Here is a 19,927-nt window from a genome sequence, read left to right as displayed (position 1 = left end):
ATGGGGGATGATGCTACTAGATTGTGAAGTCATTAGAAAAATGAGACAATATACTTGAAGCACCAACCCTCAATAAGTGGTAGCTATTCACATTTAGCCCAGCCTCTTCATTTGCACAATTTCTCCATGTTCATAGTAAGAGTCAGATTTTCTGAACTCAGCATTGGACACCTGCTGCTATTTTATGATTTATCGAGACTTCTCATTCTATTGTGTTAGATATGCATGTAATAGATCTCCATTACATTATTATTATTATCTACTACCCATGTAGTTCATCTCCATTACATTTTTATCATCTACATTGCTTTTATAGATTATTGAAACTTATACTTTTTATAATCAATATATTTCTTTTCTTACGTTTATAACTCTTCTGACAGTTGAAATTCAGATTTCAGGAAAAATCTAAAAATTCTGTATGAAAGCAGCTTAAGTGATCTAATGATACTTGGGAGTCTTCTTTTTCTTTGACTTCTGCATATACTATACAGAAAAATATCTTGAGGAAGTTGTCATTGAGACAGACTCACATTGCACTGGGCTATCAGTTATGTGAATGCCGCTTTTCTTTTCTCATTGCAGGTGACACAATTTCTTGCAACGTAACCTACCCTGGGAGGCATGGCCCTCCAGGTTTTGATGGACCTCCAGGTATTATCAATGAGAAGTTACTGTCTTATATACTTCCCAGAGTAAAAAAAAAAAAACCAGCCAGACAGATAAACCAAGAGTGAATCCTCAGACTAGTTAGGACATTTCTGAAGTTTTGAGGGACCATGGATAGGGGAAAACAGCATTTGTAGTAATTTGTAGTTGGGCCTCTAGTCTGCTGGTTTGAGAACACTCCAGATGGGCTTTTCAAATCTTTGTACAATAAAATTTACCTTGATTTGCTCACATATCAGTTAAAATGTCTGTCCCTTGAAAGTTTTTTTTTTTTTTTTGAGACGGAGTCTCACTTTGTCTCCCGGGCTGGAGTGTAGTGGTGTGATCTCAGCTCACTGCAACCTCTGCTTCCCAGGTTCAATGATTCTTCCGCCTCAGTCTTCCAAGTAGCTGGGACTACAGGTACCCGCCACCGTGCCCGGCTAATTTTTGTGTTTTTAGTAGAGACAGGGTTTCACCATATTGGTTAGGCTGGTCTTGAACTCCTGACCTTGTGATCCGCCCACCTCGGCCTCCCAAAGTGCTGGGATTACAGGTGTGAGCCACCGCACCCAGCCTGAAAGTTTTAAAACTGTATCTTCTTTCCTTTCCTGTGCCTCAAGAGTGAATCATGATCACTTGTTTATTGATTGTAAGTTTTACTTTCCAAGAGAACCAACATTTGATCAGAAACATTTGAAAAAAATGCCCAAATATCTCTGTCCTTGTTTGCACATTCATGCAACAGCTTCATTTGAATCAATCACTTATTTTTAGATGAATTAAATCCAAAATCTATCTAAGATATTTTGCCTAACTCTTCTTTGTTTCTTTAGAGTTCCCTACCCGTTCATTACTAGTATGAATAATGACTGACTGTTACTCTCTCTACCATCAAATTTTATGACAATAATGTGTAAATAATCTCAAAATCTCAGTGGGCTACAGCAAACACTTATTTTCTATCTTATGGGTCTGCAGGTTGGTTGGGTTTAGCTGATCTAAGATGGTCTCTGTTGGCTTAGAGTGTAGCTCCAAGTTAGGTTTGGGGTTGCAACATGCATCTCATTGCAAGGCCAGGCTTTTCTCATGTGATTGCAGAAATGCAAGAGGGCCAGCTCAGCTCACAGGCTCCCTCCACACCTCTGATTGGATCATGGGCATTCATTTCCTATTGCCCAAAACAAGTCACATGACCAAGCCCTGGGTAAAAGGGCAGGGAATTACACTCCGCCCACCACAAGGCAATGGCAAGAGTGCGGAAATATAATTCCGTATCAGCAGAGTGGAGAATTGCAGGTTGACGGATTGAACGTTCATTTTTACTTTTACTGGTCATGGGTGGATAAAAAAAAGTTTGATTTCTTTCAGCAGCTGTAACTTCGAGAGAAGTGAATACTCACATTTTAATTTGACAGTTGTGCCTCCATTGAAGTTTATGATTTATAAGTTATTTTAGCTGAGATAACTCCTTGTAGAAAATCACAGAAGGTTTAAAATAGATTCTCTAGGCCGGGTGCGGTGGCTCATGCCTGTAATCTCAGCACTTTGGGAGGCCGAGGTGGGTGGATCACGAGGTCAGGAGATGAGACCATCCTGGCTAACACGGTGAAACCCTGTCTCTACTAAAAACATAAAAAATTAGCCAGGCGTGGTGGCGGGCGCCTGCAATCCCAGCCACTTGGGAGGCTGAGGCAGGAGAATGGCGTGAACCCAGGAGGCAGAGCTTGCAGTGAGCCGAGACTGCGTCACTGCACTCCAGCCTTGGTGACAAAGCAAGACTCTGTCTCAAAAAAAAAAAAAAAAAAAATTCTCTATTACTTTTTGCAAGTGCTTTTTGCCTATACTTCATTTAAGGGCAAATTCAGTAAGATGCAGGGAAATAGATTTTGGTCTTTAATCTGATCCTTTCTTGTCAAGGTAGACACTGGCCACCACCTCTTTACCCCTACAAGGGCAGACAATGGTTGCATAGTCGTGTTTCAGACCTAGCATGGGAAGATACCAAAAAAAGTCACCTGAATGGTGGTACAAGTTCCAAAGGCTTTCAGGAAGAATCCTTCACAGGATGGCTTCTGAGAAAGTGCCTTAACAAAATCACTCCTAGAAAACATTTATTTGGAGCATATGACTTACAATATATTTTTGTAAATCGGGATAGGCAACATCCTTACTTCCATAAAGTAGAAATATTCTAAAAGGACTTAACATAGACTTAAAGAAAATCATCTCATTTTGTTCACATTAGATTTTGTTTTATTGAGTCTGTGTTTTGTTTTTATTATTGTTTAGGTCCGAAGGGATTTCCAGGTCCCCAAGGTGCCCCTGGGCTGAGTGGTTCAGATGGGCATAAAGGCAGACCTGGCACACCAGGAACAGCGGAAATACCAGGTCCACCTGGTCAGTGAGGTTTTTTTTTTTTTTTTTTTTTTTTCTGCTTTGGGAATATCTATCAGGAACTTTTTAACATTTCTACCGATGGATAATTTCATTGAGGAAATGGTCCAGGGATCCCTAGATAATAGGGAAATGGTGTTTCTTGATAGACCCTTAGCTATATTGTGATAACTTTCAGATTATAATTTTATAAGTTGCCAAGGCTCCTTACACCTTGAAGCATAAGTTGTGGGCTATTATTTGTCTATTATGTTGTTGAAACTACTCAGTCCAGCCAGAATGTTTGCCAGAGAAGGAAAGCAATTAGGGAAACATCATTGGCTTATAGGAAACACAAAGTTGCAGTTTCTCTCTCTACAAAAGGTGGCAAAACAACATTACTGTTAAACTGCTCTTAATTTTAGTAAGTACCCCTGTGTTTTTAAGAAAAGTATTTTTATCAAAGTAAGTCTTATATGTATTGGTTCTATACTTGCACATGTTATCATTAAAAATTTTTTTTTGTTGTTAAATAGGTTTTCGTGGTGACATGGGAGATCCGGGTTTTGGAGGTGAAAAGGGGTCCTCCCCTGTTGGGCCCCCAGGCCCTCCCGGCTCACCAGGAGTGAATGGTCAGAAAGGAATCCCGGGAGACCCTGCATTTGGTCACCTGGGACCCCCGGGAAAGAGGGGTCTTTCAGGAGTGCCAGGGATAAAAGGACCCAGAGGTGATCCGGGATGTCCAGGGGCTGAAGGTATGAGGGCTTTGCTGTCCTTTTGGTGCATAGAGCTGGCTCAGTTTTGGAACAGGTCACTGAAGAACGTTTAGATTATTTTGCTTTAGGCATGTAGAATATAAACAGTTTACCCAAGTGTTTTCCCTCATTTGGGGTGCTGGTTACATTTCAAATAACCTGAATCTCTAGCCTTGCCTTTGCACTTTATTGATTGTTTTCAAATGCAGGGCAGCTCACTGTGGTTCATTCAACTCAATTTGATTCCGCAGCTAGTATGTTGGTGCTGCAAAGGCCAAGAGCAGGGACTGTGTAACCTGTCTGGGGCTGTTGCCAGGTGGAAGGTAGGCAGGCCTGATTGTGAGAGGAAGAGTGGCTTAGAGGCTGGAGCTGTGAGCTGGCATCTGGGAACACTCTATGGGAGAGCCGGGTATGAGCTGAGCCTAGAGGACAAGCTGTCTTCGCACAAGAGACAGGGTAGAGGGACCTTCATTCCATTTGGGGTGGCAGGAGGGCATCAAACGCAAGAGAGGAAGATGGCCTGGACACTGATTCATATCCTTTTCTGAAATCAGTAAGGATCCTTCAGGATCCCCAGTGGAGTTTTTCAGGTTTTAATGTACTTAAAAATAACCAAGTGGGGGTGGGGCAGCTCATTAAAATTATTGTCTTCAGGACCCCAGTCTGAGGAATTCTGATTCATTATTTCTGGGGTGGGGCCCCACATTCTGAACTTCAGTGGGCCTCTTGGGTGATGGTGATCAAGATGTGAACCACAGATCAGATGTTTACAAAGAACATTCTGGTTCTTTTCTAAAAGTCGGTGGGCCAGTGTTTATTAGGCATCCACTAGAGTACATTAGCACAGGACACGTGGAGGAGAGGAGGAGAATTAGCACCCTCAAGGAGCTTGCATGGAAGTTTGTAAATAAAAAGATTCATATTGAAAGAAACAATTAATTGGAAAGTAACAGGTGAAACATAATGTAAGTCAATAAAAATAATGACCCAGTAATCCGACTATCTCACTTGTGAAAATATATCTAAGGGAAGTGTTCAATGGAAGAAGGTTATAGATATGAAAATGCCCTTGTAGTATTATCCACAGCAGAGGAATAATTGGAAAGAACAAAGACAGACACACACACACACATACACACACACTCTATCTCTCAAAGGAATACCATCCAGCCATTAGCAATTTAAATCATATTTGTAAAGACTGCAACAAACTGGAAAACATTTGCAGATTAATATGCAATCTGAAGCGCTCCAACAACTGAATTTGCACTGATTACTATTTTTAAATGTAAACATATGAACCAAAATGTAAAGAAAACATAGGAAAACAAAGTAGATTTTTGGGTTAGGGTGTGGAATTATGGGGGATGTTCTTTCCTGAAGATTATGACCCTGTCTTTCTAGTGAGTAGAAATTTGAGAATACAAGTGATGAAATCTCTCATAAAATGCAAATTCATACAGTGCAAACTGGGTTTGTAAATATTGTAGAGATTTGATGTAAAGCCTGATGCAAAGTTAGAGGTTAATTAAAATTAGGAAGAACCAAGTGGTTTCTTATTTGCATAGGCAACTGCAGTCCACATAACCTTATCAAGTAACTCACTTAGCAATGCGTTGTTTCTCTGTTCATAAGGAACTCATTACATCTATGATAAGAAAATCCACTCAAAGACTTAACCCATTTGAACACTGATTCAGGATGAAAATGTTCACCTCCAGTATTGATATGCGTGAACAATTCATCATGGGCCATCTGTATAGTTTTTTGTCATGAATGTCATGGATGTATTGTATCATTTCAGGGCCAGCTGGCATTCCTGGATTCCTAGGTCTCAAAGGTCCCAAAGGCAGAGAGGGACATGCTGGGTTTCCAGGTGTCCCAGGTCCACCTGGCCATTCCTGTGAAAGAGGTGCTCCAGGGATACCAGGGCAACCGGGACTCCCTGGGTATCCAGGTAGCCCAGGTAAGTGTCAAGAACTGTGAAGGGTCTGGGGCTTACCCTACTTACAATTAAATAAGCTCCCCTTTTACTCTTTTATGGATGCTGCCAGAAGCAAGAGTCCTGAGTCAGAGACAAAGGACTTCGTTACTCATGAGTTTCATGTTGGTTTGCATCACTTCCCCCATGTCACCCAAGTCTTATGGGGCAATGTAGTGGGCTAGTTGGCCACACACACAGTGGGTTGCATTACATGAGAGGAGCCCTGAGCCAAGGAACCACTGCTTTATAGCAACCTGTGAGAAAGCCTGCTTTTCCTATTGAGGAAAGTGCTATATCATTTATCAAGGGTGCTTGCTGCAAACACAAGCTTGAGAAGTTTCCCAGGTAAAGAGCATTAGGATCTTGCATTCTTGGCATACCCAGGAAGACGTAGGAACACAAGAGACCCCTGGAGTGTCTCCTAATACAAGGTGCAGGGAGGCTGCCTTAGTCCATTCGCACTGCTCTACCAAATACCTTAAACTAGGCAATTTATAAACAACAGAAATTTATTTCTTATGGCTCAGGAGGCTGGGAAGTCCAAGATCAAGCTGCCAGCAGATTTGGTGTGCCTTCCTTGTGTCCTCACAGGCAGATGGGGCAAACAGCTCTTTTGCACCTCTTTAATAAGGTCACCAATCTTATTCATGAGGGCTCTGCCCTTATGACTTAATCACCTCCCCAAGTGTTCACCTTTTAATACTATCACATTGGTGATTAACTTTCAACATATGAATTTTGGAGGGACACATTCAGAACATAGCAGGGGCTATTTTCAATATGATCTTCATTTCACTATTCACATTGTTTACTCTGTCATTTAAATCCCATTGCTTTTATCCAAATGCAGTAATATACGCACTTGAAAAATTAAAACCAGATTGAGGCAAAACTTTCCGCTACAGCCATATTTCTAGCACCAATAATGTTAGACACCGGCTCTGACTTCTTCTCGGCTGTAGAGCTTCAGGAAAAACCTGGAAAGTTTTCTTCTATTAGTTTCCCTCCACCAAGAGGAAATACAAATACATGTTTGTTTTTTCTTTTTGTTTTCTGTTAAAAATATTTTTTATAATCTACATTCATCCCTACTGGGAAACATTTACTCAAATGATCTGCCCTTCTATTTATGGCATCTAGAAAAATATATTCTTAGATTGATGGAAAGTTGCTACTGTTATTTTAGCCAACAAATATTGCTTTACTGTTGTTTAACGCATTGTTTAAGCTACTGTATATTTTTCCTGCTGTGTGTGAAGCCAGTGTTCAGCCTTCACACACTGTGGTCACTGTGGTTTGTCTTAGGTGCTCCAGGTGGGAAAGGACAGCCGGGAGATGTGGGGCCTCCCGGGCCAGCTGGAATGAAAGGCCTCCCCGGACTCCCAGGACGGCCTGGGGCACATGGTCCCCCAGGCCTCCCAGGAATCCCAGGTCCCTTTGGAGATGATGGGCTACCTGGTCCTCCAGGTCCAAAGGGTAGGTAGTGCTTTTTCCATGATGTCCTCCCATCTTAGAAACATGAAATCCACTGCCAAGTGAAGACTGGACAGATGACCACACAAAAAGAGTTAACTGTTAGTCTGGCTTTGTCCTTCCCTTAATGATGCCTCCCTTGCTCTTGTCCTCTGTATCGTTATTTCCAGTGGCGAAATGTTTCTGTACCGGTCAATGGGAAAAGGGGTTTGTAGGTGTTAGGGCCACAGAATTCATGAAGACTGGGTAGCACGGTAAACTCCTAGGGTCGGGAAGGGTGCATTTTCATTTTGGAGGGGGTCCCCACTCTCATCCCTACCCCCTGTTAGGGGATTAGGACTCAGACACATCAGGGCCCACACTTCAGGTCTGTAGGTAGGAAACTGAGGATGGGGCGGCAGAGCATGGAATTTTTATTTTATTTTTTTATTTTATTATTATTATTTTTTTTAGGAGACAGAGGCTTGCTCTGTAGCCCAGGCTAGAGGGCAGTGGCAGGATCATAGCTCACTGCAGCCTTGAACTCCTGGGCTCAAGTGATCCTCCTACCTCAGCCTCCTGAGAGGCATGTGCCACCACGCCTAATTTTTTTTTTTTTTAGGAGACAGGATCTCGCTATTTTAGCCAGGCTGATCTTGAAATCCTGGCCTCAAAGATCCTCCTGCCTTGGTCTCCCTAGTGCCAGGATTGCAGGTCTGAGTCACCGTGCCCAACTGAGCCCAGCTACTAAGTGCAGTGAGGTTGGCAATTGTTTACTTTGAATACAAACTCAGCGTTAGGCAGGAGTTTGCATCTGTAGATGAACTACGAGGAACACAATATATAAGAATCATACTAGCCTGTAAAATGTTTTCCTAGGGCCAGGCACAGTGGCTCACACCTATAATCCCAGCACTTTGGGAGGCTGAGGCGGGTGGATCACTTGAGGCTAGGAGTTTGAGACCAGCCTGGCCAACATGGTGAAACTCCGTCTCTACTAAAAATACAAAAATTAGCCAAGGGCGGTGGCTCCCGCCTGTAATCCCAGCTACTCGGGAGGCTGAGGAAGGAGAATTGCTTGAACTTGGGAGGCAGAGGTTGCAATGAGCCGAGATCGTGCCACTGCACTTCAGCCTGGGTGACAGAGTGAGACTCTGTCCACCTCCCACCCCTGAAAAAATAAATAACAAATAAAATATTTTCCTAAAACTTTATGCTCTCATTTCACCAGGACCCCGGGGGCTGCCTGGTTTCCCAGGTTTTCCCGGAGAAAGAGGAAAGCCTGGTGCAGAGGGATGTCCTGGCGCAAAGGGAGAACCTGGAGAGAAGGGCATGTCTGGCCTTCCTGGAGACCGGGGACTGAGAGGGGCCAAAGGTAAATAAAATACAGCCATGCAACATGCATTTGTTTCTGGTATTTGATCCAAACCTAGAAATGTGATCTCTGAAAAATAAAATAGGACTTGTCTGAAGCTTGGATTCCTCCTCCTTTTAGTTCTATGGTATTTGTTTTAGAATTTTAAACAAAATTCATTTTCTTTACCTCTTAATCTTATTACATATAGATGGCAAATGAATTGCTCTATTAATTGAAAAAGAATTAACAAGTGGTTCTTAATGCACTGATTTATAGCTTCTAGGTTTCAAAGAACTTTCTCACCTTTTGGGAAAGGGGGCTCTTGTTCTCCAACCTCTGTTTCAGTTAGAACAGAAGTTGGTAAGCTCTTCCTGTAAAAAGCCTGATAATAACAATTTCAGGCTTTGCAGACCATCTGGTCTCTGTCACAACGACTCAAGTCTGCTTTTGTAGCATGAAAGCAGACATAGACAACACAGAAACAAACATAAAATACAATTTTCAGTAAGATGGTATTTATGGATACTAAGGTTTGAATTTCATATAATTTTCACACCATGAAATATTACCTTGTTTTTGAGTTTTACCCCTCAACCATTTCACAGTGTAAAAATCATTCGCATCTCATGTGCTGTACAGAAACTGGCAGCAGGAAGGATTTGGCCCATGGGCTGCAGTTTGCCAACTTCTCAACTACCATGAGTCCACTTTCATCTGGGCCACGAGTAGAGTTTCCCCAAGCTTCATTTGAAAAAAAAAGTTTTCTGGCCAGGTGTGGTGGCTCACGCCTGTAATCCCAGCACTTTGGGAGGCCGAGACGGGCAGATCATGAGGTCAGGAGATCGAGACCATCCTGGTAACACGGCGAAACCCTGTCTCTACTAAAACTACAAAAAATTAGCCAGGTGTGGTGGTGGGCACCTGTAGTCCCAGCTACTCGGGAGGCTGAGGCAGGAGAATGGTGTGAACCTGGGAGGTGGAGCTTGCAGTGAGCAGAGATCATGCCACTGCACTCCAGCCTGGGTGACAGAGTGAGATTCTGTCTCCAAAAAAAAAAAAAAAAAAAAAGAAAAAGAAAAAAATGTTTTCTTTACTATGAAAAATAAGTTTTGAGACCAATGGTTTAAATATTATGTCCCCATCCCTGTTAAATATTTACTCCTACTCCTTAGTCCTGTGGCTCTAATGGGTGAAGGTAGTATTTCCTTTCCAGTGTTGAGAAAAAATGCTTGACAATTTTCAGACCCAAGGATTTTTGCCCTTAAGGCCTTTTGGGCAAGTAGCCTCATATTGAATTAAAATTACCTTTTCTTCTTAGTTGATTGATTCTACCACAATTTTTTGTTTTACTAGCTTGTAAATTATTTATGTGGAATCAAAGAATCAAAGAGTCACTCTTTGCTAGCTTAGATAAGTGATGTTTGCTGTGCTATTATGCTACTATACAATTATCCCACTAAAAATTAAAATTTGGACTAACGCCAGTGATGGGCTAGTAAACTAGTTCTTTGAAATTAAAAAAAAAAAGCACCGTGGTTTATAGTGTTTGCTGAGTGTCATGGCATAAATACTCCTGCCACGGCTGATTTAAAGTTAGCAATGGTTTAACAACTGGCTTGCAGGGTTCTTGAATTGTGGTAACTGGCACTCGTCAAGCTGGTAGGAGCCCACGCCTGCACATTGCTACAGCTGGCCAGTGTTTGCAAAATCAGGCAGAAGTACGGTATGCCCTTCCTACCTTTCAGAAGTCAGTGTGAGGGGTACCACATTGAGATAAGTGTCTGTTCTTTTAATATAAGGAAAGTAAGAGAGGATGGCTAGGAGGAGATATGGAACTGGAAATATGAGATGGGCAAATCCAAATTTTATAGAACAAAGCGACATTTTTTTAGACTGGAACTTTTCAAATCTGTCTTAACCTCAGTGAAGACCCCGACCAGTTTGGTTGAATTTGGCAAACATTCAGTGAGCACTCCTGGCACACCAGACTCTGTGGCTGGACAAATGGGGTCAGGAACGTAAAAGATGACTGACCTTCCTTTAGGAAATCAGCCAACAATGGTGACATTTTGTGATCTACATAAATAGAGCTTCGTAGGTTAAGTGGGAATTTGCGATTTGGGAGTGAAATGTAGTAATGGATAAATTATGTGTGTGATGTTCCTGTTCATTTTGTTCTTGCATAATTAATATCCATAGGAGCCATAGGACCTCCCGGAGATGAAGGAGAAATGGCTATCATTTCACAAAAGGGAACACCTGGGGAACCTGGACCTCCTGGAGATGATGGATTCCCAGGAGAAAGAGGTAAACACTTAAGAGTTTTTAACCATATCAAATAAGTTGACATTTTTACAGATCACATTTGTTAGGCAACTTTCCCCAATAACACTGAGATTAGAAAAGACTTTTTTTTTTTTGAGATGGAGTTTTGCTCTTGTCGCCCAGGCTGGAGTGCAGTGGCACCATCTCAGCTCACTGCAACCTCTGCCTCCCGGGTTCAAGCGATTCTCCTGCCTCAGCCTCCCGAGTAGCTGGAATTACAGGCGCATGCCACCACGCCTGGCTAATTTTTGTATTTTTAGTAAAGATGGGGGTTTCACCATGTTGGCCAGGCTGGTCTCAAACTCCTGACCTCAGGTGATCCACCCGCCTCGGCCTCCCAAAATGCTGGATTACAGGCGTGAACCACTGTGAGAAAAGGCCATTTTTTTTAGATATAAATAAACACAAATAAACCTTGTGGTACATTTTTTGCTTCTCCATGCTAAAATTTAGCTGAAGTTCCTGTGTACTCCTAGATTTGGATATTCTAAACTGGGATCAACCTGAGCTATACATAAAATACTGGTTTCAGGTTTGGTAGTTGGTTTTAAAGTGAATAGCGCAATGACTGTTCAAGTCATTGTGACCAGTGCCTCTCAAACTTCAGAGCACATTAATCACCTGGAGAGCTTGTTAAAATGCAGATTCTGATTCAGCAGCTCTGGGGCAGCCAGGTATCCTGCCTTTCTAACAGACACCCCAATGCCCATGCTAATGGTCCACAGAAACATTGCAGAGCGAGGATTTTTGACAACCCCATTTGTGTGCTCCTCCAAGGTCAGACTTAGTCTGCATGAGGTGCTCATCTTGGCTTCTCTCAGCTAGTTGTTAGAGGGCAAATATTTTAACTTTTCTGGGTAAGTGCTTCTTCATTTGTAAAATAAGCAGCGGAGGCAAATAATCCTGTGTGCTCCTTCCCACCTCTGATAGTCCTTAGATATTCCCAGGCAGCTTCTTTCATCAATGAGGTCACTGAAGCCAGAAATGATCAGGAAGCGGCTTGGGACAGCAATCAGAATCCTCAATACCTTTGGCTTTATCTCCTAAAAGTAGGACCAGGTCCCTCAGCTTAACTATTACCTAGCTCAAAATTTCAGCAGAGACCTGTAACACTTCCAACTTCATCAGGTGATAAAGGAACTCCCGGGATGCAAGGGAGAAGAGGAGAGCCGGGAAGATACGGACCACCTGGATTTCACAGAGGGGAACCTGGTGAGAAAGGTCAGCCAGGGCCTCCTGGACCCCCAGGCCCTCCAGGCTCAACTGGTCTAAGAGGGTTCATTGGTTTTCCAGGACTTCCAGGTGACCAGGTAAGGGGCTACTGCTTTGTGGGGGAAGAGACAATAAAACCTTTCTGTTCTTAGGATGTCCGTAAGGAGCTATAATTTGCCAGCGTATATACCATTGCCCTTTCACTGGCTTTTAGAATGTAAGGTGTAGCTCAAGGAGAAAATAGAGCCTTCTAGAAGGCCACGATGAAACTGACATTTCTGACCAGTGCTCCTGCCTGGTTCCCCTAACATAGAGTCATATAATCGCTATCTCCCAGCCTGGTTTAAACCACCCATGAAGACTTGCCTCATGACCACTGGTTTACTGGAATGAAAGTCGTCCTGAAAAATCACCCAAATCCTGTCTTTAAAGTCTTCCAGTTTCAGATATCACAGATTTTGCTTTCAATATATTTCGTCTTCACAACCATGAGTAAAATACCCTTTCAGAATCCAGGAGGTACAATACATGTAGTTGCCAACATTATACTTCTGGAAAACACGTAACTCACTATCCATCTTTTGGAATGAAATGGATTTGTAAAGTCTTTCATATGCTGTGATTTATAATACTATTTTATTTAGTATCAACTTGTTTATTTGTAATTTAAAATTCAAATTAGTAACACAATTACTGTTTCACAACCAAGTGTAGAGAATGGGATGCTACCAGTTGCGACTGAGAACTCTAATTCTGGAGAAGCTATATCAACTTTGAAAAACTAGATACATGTAGTGGGAGGCTTGCATGCATTTAAACTTTCGTTACCACTGCAGATTACAAAAACCAAATTAGTTACAGAAAATTACAACTGGATCGTGTTGTGCATGTGCCATTTGTATTTGAAATCTGATTAAGGCCTTTTGTTTCATTAAACTGTCAGGGTGAGCCAGGTTCTCCAGGTCCCCCTGGATTTTCAGGAATTGATGGAGCAAGAGGACCTAAAGGTATGGTTTGGAGATACAGAAGCCATCTGTCAAATGCATAGTCCCGAATGTTTATAACATTGTAAACAAGTGCCTTTTACATGATAAGCAAAGTGTATCAAAGAAACTGCAACACCCAAGGGGCTCTTGTTAGACAGTCAAACACTCAAGATCCAAATATTCTACAGTTGTCACTCAGATCCAAGGGTATCAGATAGAAAACAGCATGCCTGCAGGCTCTTCGTGTCTTCCTCCTCTGTGAGAGTCCCAGCAGCAGTCCATGGAGTGACTGCAGCCCCTCAAGTAACAGCTCAGTTGCAAGGAGAACAGATCCATGTCAGTGGGCCGTGCCCACTTTGGCTTAGAAACCCTATGTCCCGCAGGAGCCAGTATCTTTTCTAAGGACTTCATAAGTACAGCTTTTAGAGTCCCAGTTAGGACATAGAGGCTAAAGCCATGACTTTCCAGCAGGTGCTAAGAGTTCACTTAAGAAGTCCCAAGATAGATGTAATTTACAATTGGGTTTTTTATTATTATTATTATTTTTTTACTATAGCAAAATATTTTTTTCCTAAAGGGCCAGATCATAACAATTTTCAGCTTGTTGGGCCATATGGTCTCAGTCACAACTATTCAACTGTGTTGTTATAGTGTGAAAGCAGCCATAGGCTATATGTAAACAAAGGAGTGTGGCTGTTTTCCAATAGAACTTTATTTGCAAAATTGGCTGCAGGCTAGATTTGGCCCCACGGGCCTTAGTTTACCTTGTGTCAAAAACAGTGCTGCATTGTAACACACCTAACATTCTAGTGAAAGAGAGGCTTCATTAACCCTTTATTCAGACAAACAAGTAAACAAACAAAGAGCAGGATATCTTAGTTGCAATGTTTGCATAAAACCTTTAATAGTTTTACTATCTTGGTATACCATTGGGTTAATATTTTTCTTTAAATCTACTTTAAAATGATTTACCTTTTTAACCTTAGCCTTAGCGTAACTAGCTGTAAATTCACAGGTTAACATGCAGTTATCCTTTATTTTGATATAAGTTAAAAGAAATTTAAAATATAAAATACTAATTAATGAATGACCTACAATCCTCTGCCTTACTACTTTGAGAGACACTCTATAAATAATATACTAAATGCTATAACAAACATGACCTGTGTGGGCTTATTTCTTCAGAAAGAATAATATAGATCCCTTCTTGGGAAATGGTTACAAATGGAAAAAGTTTTATATTTGATTTTGATATTTTATAACTTTGGGGTTCAGAAGTCACTCCTTTTCTGCTTACCTATACATTTATTAGTCTCTTTACCATTCTTTCACAGTAAAAACCTACCTCTTCTCACTTCCTTCATGCTTGTATTGGGCCATGCTTAAAAGGAATTGAAATGCACTCAAAATACCTGGAGTCAAAGATGTCTCATGGATCCCACAGATAGGAGACATAGTTCTGCCAAAGCTAAAGGAACCCTAGCCCTTAGTCAATCCATGGTTTCTCACTTTTTCCCATGGTCTATTTTTTCACTTACCTGTCTACCAACTGGCTTCATCTCTGTCTACACAGTATCTTTTCTGGATATTTCTGGATATGTTGGGTTGTACTCCAATATGTTCTACATCAGGACAGCTCATGATAATGCTTTTGGTTTCTGCCCCAGTAGCCAAGGACTTCAAATTCTCACTTTCTTATTCCATCTTCTCAAGGAAAGACTTGTTTGACCTGGAATGGGCCAGAATCCCACCCCTCAAGCAATTGGCCATTATTATGAGTAAAATCAGATAGGAGAAAGACTTCCACAAGGTGCTGGTGGAACTCCTTTAGAAAGGAGTGTAAATGGGCAGTTACTATAAGATACATCTAACTTACCTCTGTAATTCTCTTGAAACCCCATCTATTTTCTTGCCTTTCCTCCCACTCCATTTTGAGTCCTCCACTTCAAACTGGCTCCCAACCATAATGTAGGTCCTTGTGTCTGGAAGCATTATGGAGTGACCAGTAGCTTTGTGGGACTGTGGGAGTCATGGCCTACAGTGGCTTTTGAATGTGCCATCTCTTGTCATCAATGCAGTATGCCTTTGTGATTTTCTTTTTGCAAGGACACTGAGTTGAGCTGCCTTATAAAAGAGCTTGAAATATGATTGCAGCAGTGAAAACAGTTACAATTTTTGATTTTGGTTTCTAAAACATAAGGATATAGCCACTCAATGCCAAATAATTTCTTAAATAGAAACCTAAAGTTGAAAATTTTTTCAGGACTTAAAAACTCAAACTTATCAATACCTGGAGATCCTTATGATTGTGATGTATTCTAAAACCGTGTGTGTGTGTGTGTGTGTGTGTGTGTGTGGTATGTAAATTGCATCTTGCATCTATATTTCTATTTGTTCTTATTTAGAATAAAAGTATTTAAAAACACTCTCCTAAAATATCTGAAGATAAGCTATACAAATACCATAAACGTTACTGTCACCTGTATGAGACCAAATTAAATTGTCTAAAGTAATGTCACATGCATTTTATCCCTTTCAGGAAACAAAGGTGACCCTGCCAGTCACTTTGGTCCACCTGGTCCAAAGGGTGAGCCAGGTAGCCCTGGATGTCCAGGTATAGCTGCATATTTTTCTTACTAAAACAAAAAAAGTAGTTTAGTTTGAAAAGCAGAACAATTACTTCTAGCTGGCAATGATCGTATCAATATTTTCTTACCCCTTTGTGCATTAAGGTATAGATAAAACGGGTTATATATAAACACTTCCATAGCATTTCTTGCCTGGCCTAGAAGAACACCAGGGTTACATACTAGGGATTCACAATCATTTTTCCATCATGGCTCATGTGACCGATGATGTTGACACAATAATAAACTCCCCAGGCATGCCCATATTTTGGCAAACTCAAAAATGAATATTGCAAACAATTAAAATCTGGACCATTTTGCACCCTCTATCATTTAAAATGATGCATTCGCAATAACCACTCACAATGACTACAGCTGCAGGTTGTCATTCCAGCTCTTTCTTTCTACTGAGAAAAGCACATGCCAGTGTAAGTGGTGCGCCATTGTTGAGCCATCATTGAATCTATTTTAATTTACTAAAAATCAAACCAAATCAAGCAAACATAAACCTCATCACCAACAAGAAATCTAAGTCATTTTAAACAGTATTTTGCTTCTCAATAATAATTTAACATGGAATCCTTCAGAATGGATTGTGATGCACCATTGAGTTCTTGTGACAGTTGAGGCCACAACTGGCTACATTAGATGACCCACAGCAGAAGGGGGGTGCCAGTGTTATGCACAGCTCCATGCTTTACAGGGAAAGGGAAACCATTTGAGTTCAAGCCGACAGAACAGGACCCCTAGAGGGGAAAGCAGCCTTAGGACAGAATGTTCTATTGGTTTAACTCATATATGTTTACATTTCAGAAAATGTTGCAGATATTAATTGGTACTCCCTTTCTGGACCCTATAGAAATGCACCAATATTTAAAATATGCATATCGCTTGACTTAGGAATTCTCTTAGGAATTTATCTGGAGTCAGTAATCAGACAAGTGTACAAAGATGCATGCCCAGGAATATGCGTTGTTTGAATGGAACAAATGTCCATTCACAGATGCCTGGTTAAATAAGTTATATCCCAGGGCACTCAGCCAATAGTGGTCAGGTTAGAAACCAGGTTTGTGTTTAGATGGGTACCTTGTAAATTAAAACACCTCATATCAATAATTTTGTGCATTATCTTAAAATTCCATCTGGCAATAGCTGTGTTTCATTTCATACAACAGAAAGAATATTAGATATTTTCTGAGCAGAACTATATGAGAAATTTTATTTTCTTTGTTTTTATACTGTAAGATTGCTAAAATGGAAGTCTAACAAAAACAAGTTAATACAGTGGCACAAACTACCTTTCCCACCTTCTTTGCTATGGGTCTTTCACCTCTGACATGAACAAATATATTTAGATATATATATATGTACATATATATCTAAATATATATATGTATATATGTTTAGATAGTATATATGTATATATGTATACATATATACATATATACTATCTAAATATATCTAAATATCTAAATATATACATATACACATATAAATATATACATATATACATATATACATATATACATATATACATATACATATACATACATATATATACTATCTAAATATATATACATATATATGTATATATATGTGTATATATATATGTGTATATATATATGTGTGTATATATATATATGTGTATATATATATATATGTGTATATATATATATATGTATTTTTTTTTTTTGAGATGGAGTCTTGCTGTTTCACCCAGGCTGGAGTGGAGTGGCACAATCTTGGCTCACTGCAACCTCCACCTTCTGGGTTCAAGCAATTCTCCCACCTTAGCCTCCCAAGTAGCTGGGACTACAGGTGTGCACCACCACACCAGCTGATTTTTGTATTTTTGGTAGAGACAGAGTTTTGTCATGTTGGCTAGGCTGGTCTCAAACTCCTGGCCTCAAGTGATCTGCCTGCCTTGGCTTCCCAAACTGCTTGGATTACAGGTGTGAGGCACTGTGCCCGGCCTAGACATAGTATAATATTTTAACTGAACTGTATAACTGAAGTATACATTTGATAGGGAAAATAGTTTTGAGGTCAGCATTATGGGAGTTCATGACAAATATCAAAGTGAGAAGCCTCAGAAGGGAAAAATCGGTGGCTCAAAGTCAACCTCCATTATTACTTCACCTGTGGTCTTGGGTAAGCTGAGAGTATCTTCTCTGAGCGTAGTTGCCTCACCTGTAAACTGGCCCTATGCATACTGCAGGATTGTCCTGAGGATCAAATGAAAGAAACTGAAACTGAAAATAACTATACAAAATAAAATGCAATGATCATCATTGTCATCATCACCATCATCAGTCAGCAAAACATGAAGACATTTTCCCATACTTACTGGTATTTTTATGTAAACCCCAAAGATAGGAAGATTTCATAAGCTCAGGGTAGTCCAAAATGGGGGCCTGTGATGTTACCTAGTATTTTAACTTAAAAATCATAAACCTGAGTGATTTTACACTTAGGCTGACTTTTTCAGAAAGTTTGCCTTGGCCAAATTTGCCTGTTCTCCTGTGGTTACCACCATTTAAATTGGCCCCTTTCCCATATGCCATGGCCTCAGCTTAGAAATTTTAAATTGTATTATATGTTATTCACTAGCACAGAGTTTACTTAATACACTATTTCCATTGACTGGAGAAGGCTTCATTGAACTTGAATGAGCATCATGAGAAGGCATGAATCTGCAGCTGGTCTTGGGATTATATGTGATTATCCTGGGTTCAGTCCTACCTACTCTGCACTCTATTCAGAGAGAAAATATAGTGCAAATTAACTCAGAAGTTCTGTTCTTAACACAACCCCACAAAATTCAGGAGACAAGTTTTTATTTTTAATATTTCAGTGTTTTCATTTGTAGATGAGAATAATGCTACTTTACTGTAGGAATGTTTTCAGGATAAATAAGATAATACATAGTGAGACTAATAGATGTTAAATTCAATCAGGGAACAGGTACAGACTAACAAAAGCTTGTTTCCTGTGTGCTATAATAAATGATGACTATAGCCCCCCCAGCATGGTTTGTAAATACAGAGACATATATTTTATGTGCAGATTCAACCAGTGATTTTCAGCACACACTATTGGTTTATCCCATAAACGTGCATTAAACTCATACATTGTAAATAAACACACGGGGAAATAGTCATCCTCTTTAGTAATCAAAGAAATGTAATTTCAAGTGTCTGAAATATCATTTTATCTTTAATAAATTAGCAAGAAAAGAGGCCAAAAAACTAAAATGTCCTCAGTAAGAACACGGCATGCTCTTGGAGCTGTGGGTGGGTTCCATATGGTGGTGTGAGTCAGTGCAGCACTTACTCCAAACTACTGGCAACCTGTATCAAGAACCAAATGTTGAATGGTCTGTTCTAGAAAACTAGAGAAGAACTGAATTGTGCTCTGCAGCAAGTCACTGTCATAAGAAAAGGACTGCTTTAAATTTTTAGAAATTGAAGAGACCTATCCATTAGATGTTATGGGTGATTCTGGGATGGAACGTGGTGTGGAGAAACCAACTGTGAAGGACATTAAGGGGATAATTGGGGGGATTCAAGTATGGGATGAGTGTTTGAGGGTATTAAGAATTGCTATTAATTTTCTTGGCTGCGAAATGTTATTTTGGCAATGTAGAAAAACGTTCTTATTTTTCAGACTTCTTACCTCCTGAAGTATTTAGGGATGGAATTACACTACGGTGTGATGTACTTTAAAATACTTCAGCATTTAAAATGCATTTGAAAATACCAAAATATCATGCTATTTATCCAGAAATTCTACTCCTAGGAATTTTTCCTAAGGAAACAATTTAATAGGAGAAACAAAATTGACAAGAGATATAAAGAGCATTATGGATAACGGCAGAGTTAGAGATAACTTAAATGGCCAATAGTAAAATAAATTGAATTAGTTAATTTAATTAAGATTGACTCAAAAAGCTACTGGCCATTCATTTAAAAATGATAATTAGGAAAACCAATATAAACTTGGAAAATTACTTATGATACAACACTAATTTTAAAAACCAGAATATAAAATTGTGGGTATTATCTGTACATGTATGTACATATGAAGAATTGTGTTAAGCTGGTGGGATTATGGGCATTTTGTTATCAGTTTTTCCTTAACGTTATTTTCCTTTCCAATAGAAACTATTTAAAACTAAAAAAGTAAGGATAGAAAAGAATAGGGTG

At 40.1% G+C, this 19,927-nt stretch overlaps 1 protein-coding gene across 29 annotated transcripts in view; it reads left to right on the top strand.

Annotated features, from left to right (window-relative positions):
* Positions 1-19,927, top strand: part of COL4A4 (collagen type IV alpha 4 chain) — a 197,129-nt gene that overhangs the window by 101,305 nt on the left and 75,897 nt on the right. For 26 of the 29 annotated variants that reach the window (XR_922837.3, XR_001738602.2, XR_007069255.1 and 23 more), the window contains 10 exons: positions 586-654; positions 2,941-3,048; positions 3,561-3,779; positions 5,584-5,745; positions 7,069-7,239; positions 8,447-8,590; positions 10,772-10,879; positions 12,026-12,207; positions 13,053-13,116; positions 15,635-15,709. Coding sequence is in view for 26 of the 29 variants with exons in the window: in XM_011510565.3 (XP_011508867.1) it covers positions 586-654; positions 2,941-3,048; positions 3,561-3,779; positions 5,584-5,745; positions 7,069-7,239; positions 8,447-8,590; positions 10,772-10,879; positions 12,026-12,207; positions 13,053-13,116; positions 15,635-15,709 (1,302 nt within the window). In the remaining 3 variants the exon portion in view is untranslated. The remainder of the gene's footprint in view (positions 1-585; positions 655-2,940; positions 3,049-3,560; positions 3,780-5,583; positions 5,746-7,068; positions 7,240-8,446; positions 8,591-10,771; positions 10,880-12,025; positions 12,208-13,052; positions 13,117-15,634; positions 15,710-19,927) is intronic. The other 3 variants (XM_011510557.3, XM_017003297.2, XM_011510558.3) reach the window with 3 other exon arrangements.

The sequence above is a fragment of the Homo sapiens genome, chromosome 2, assembly GCF_000001405.40.
Source record: "Homo sapiens chromosome 2, GRCh38.p14 Primary Assembly".
NCBI lineage: Eukaryota > Metazoa > Chordata > Mammalia > Primates > Hominidae > Homo > Homo sapiens.
The sequence above is the reverse complement of the archived record's forward strand: the minus strand, read 5'-3'. Positions and strand labels throughout refer to the sequence as shown.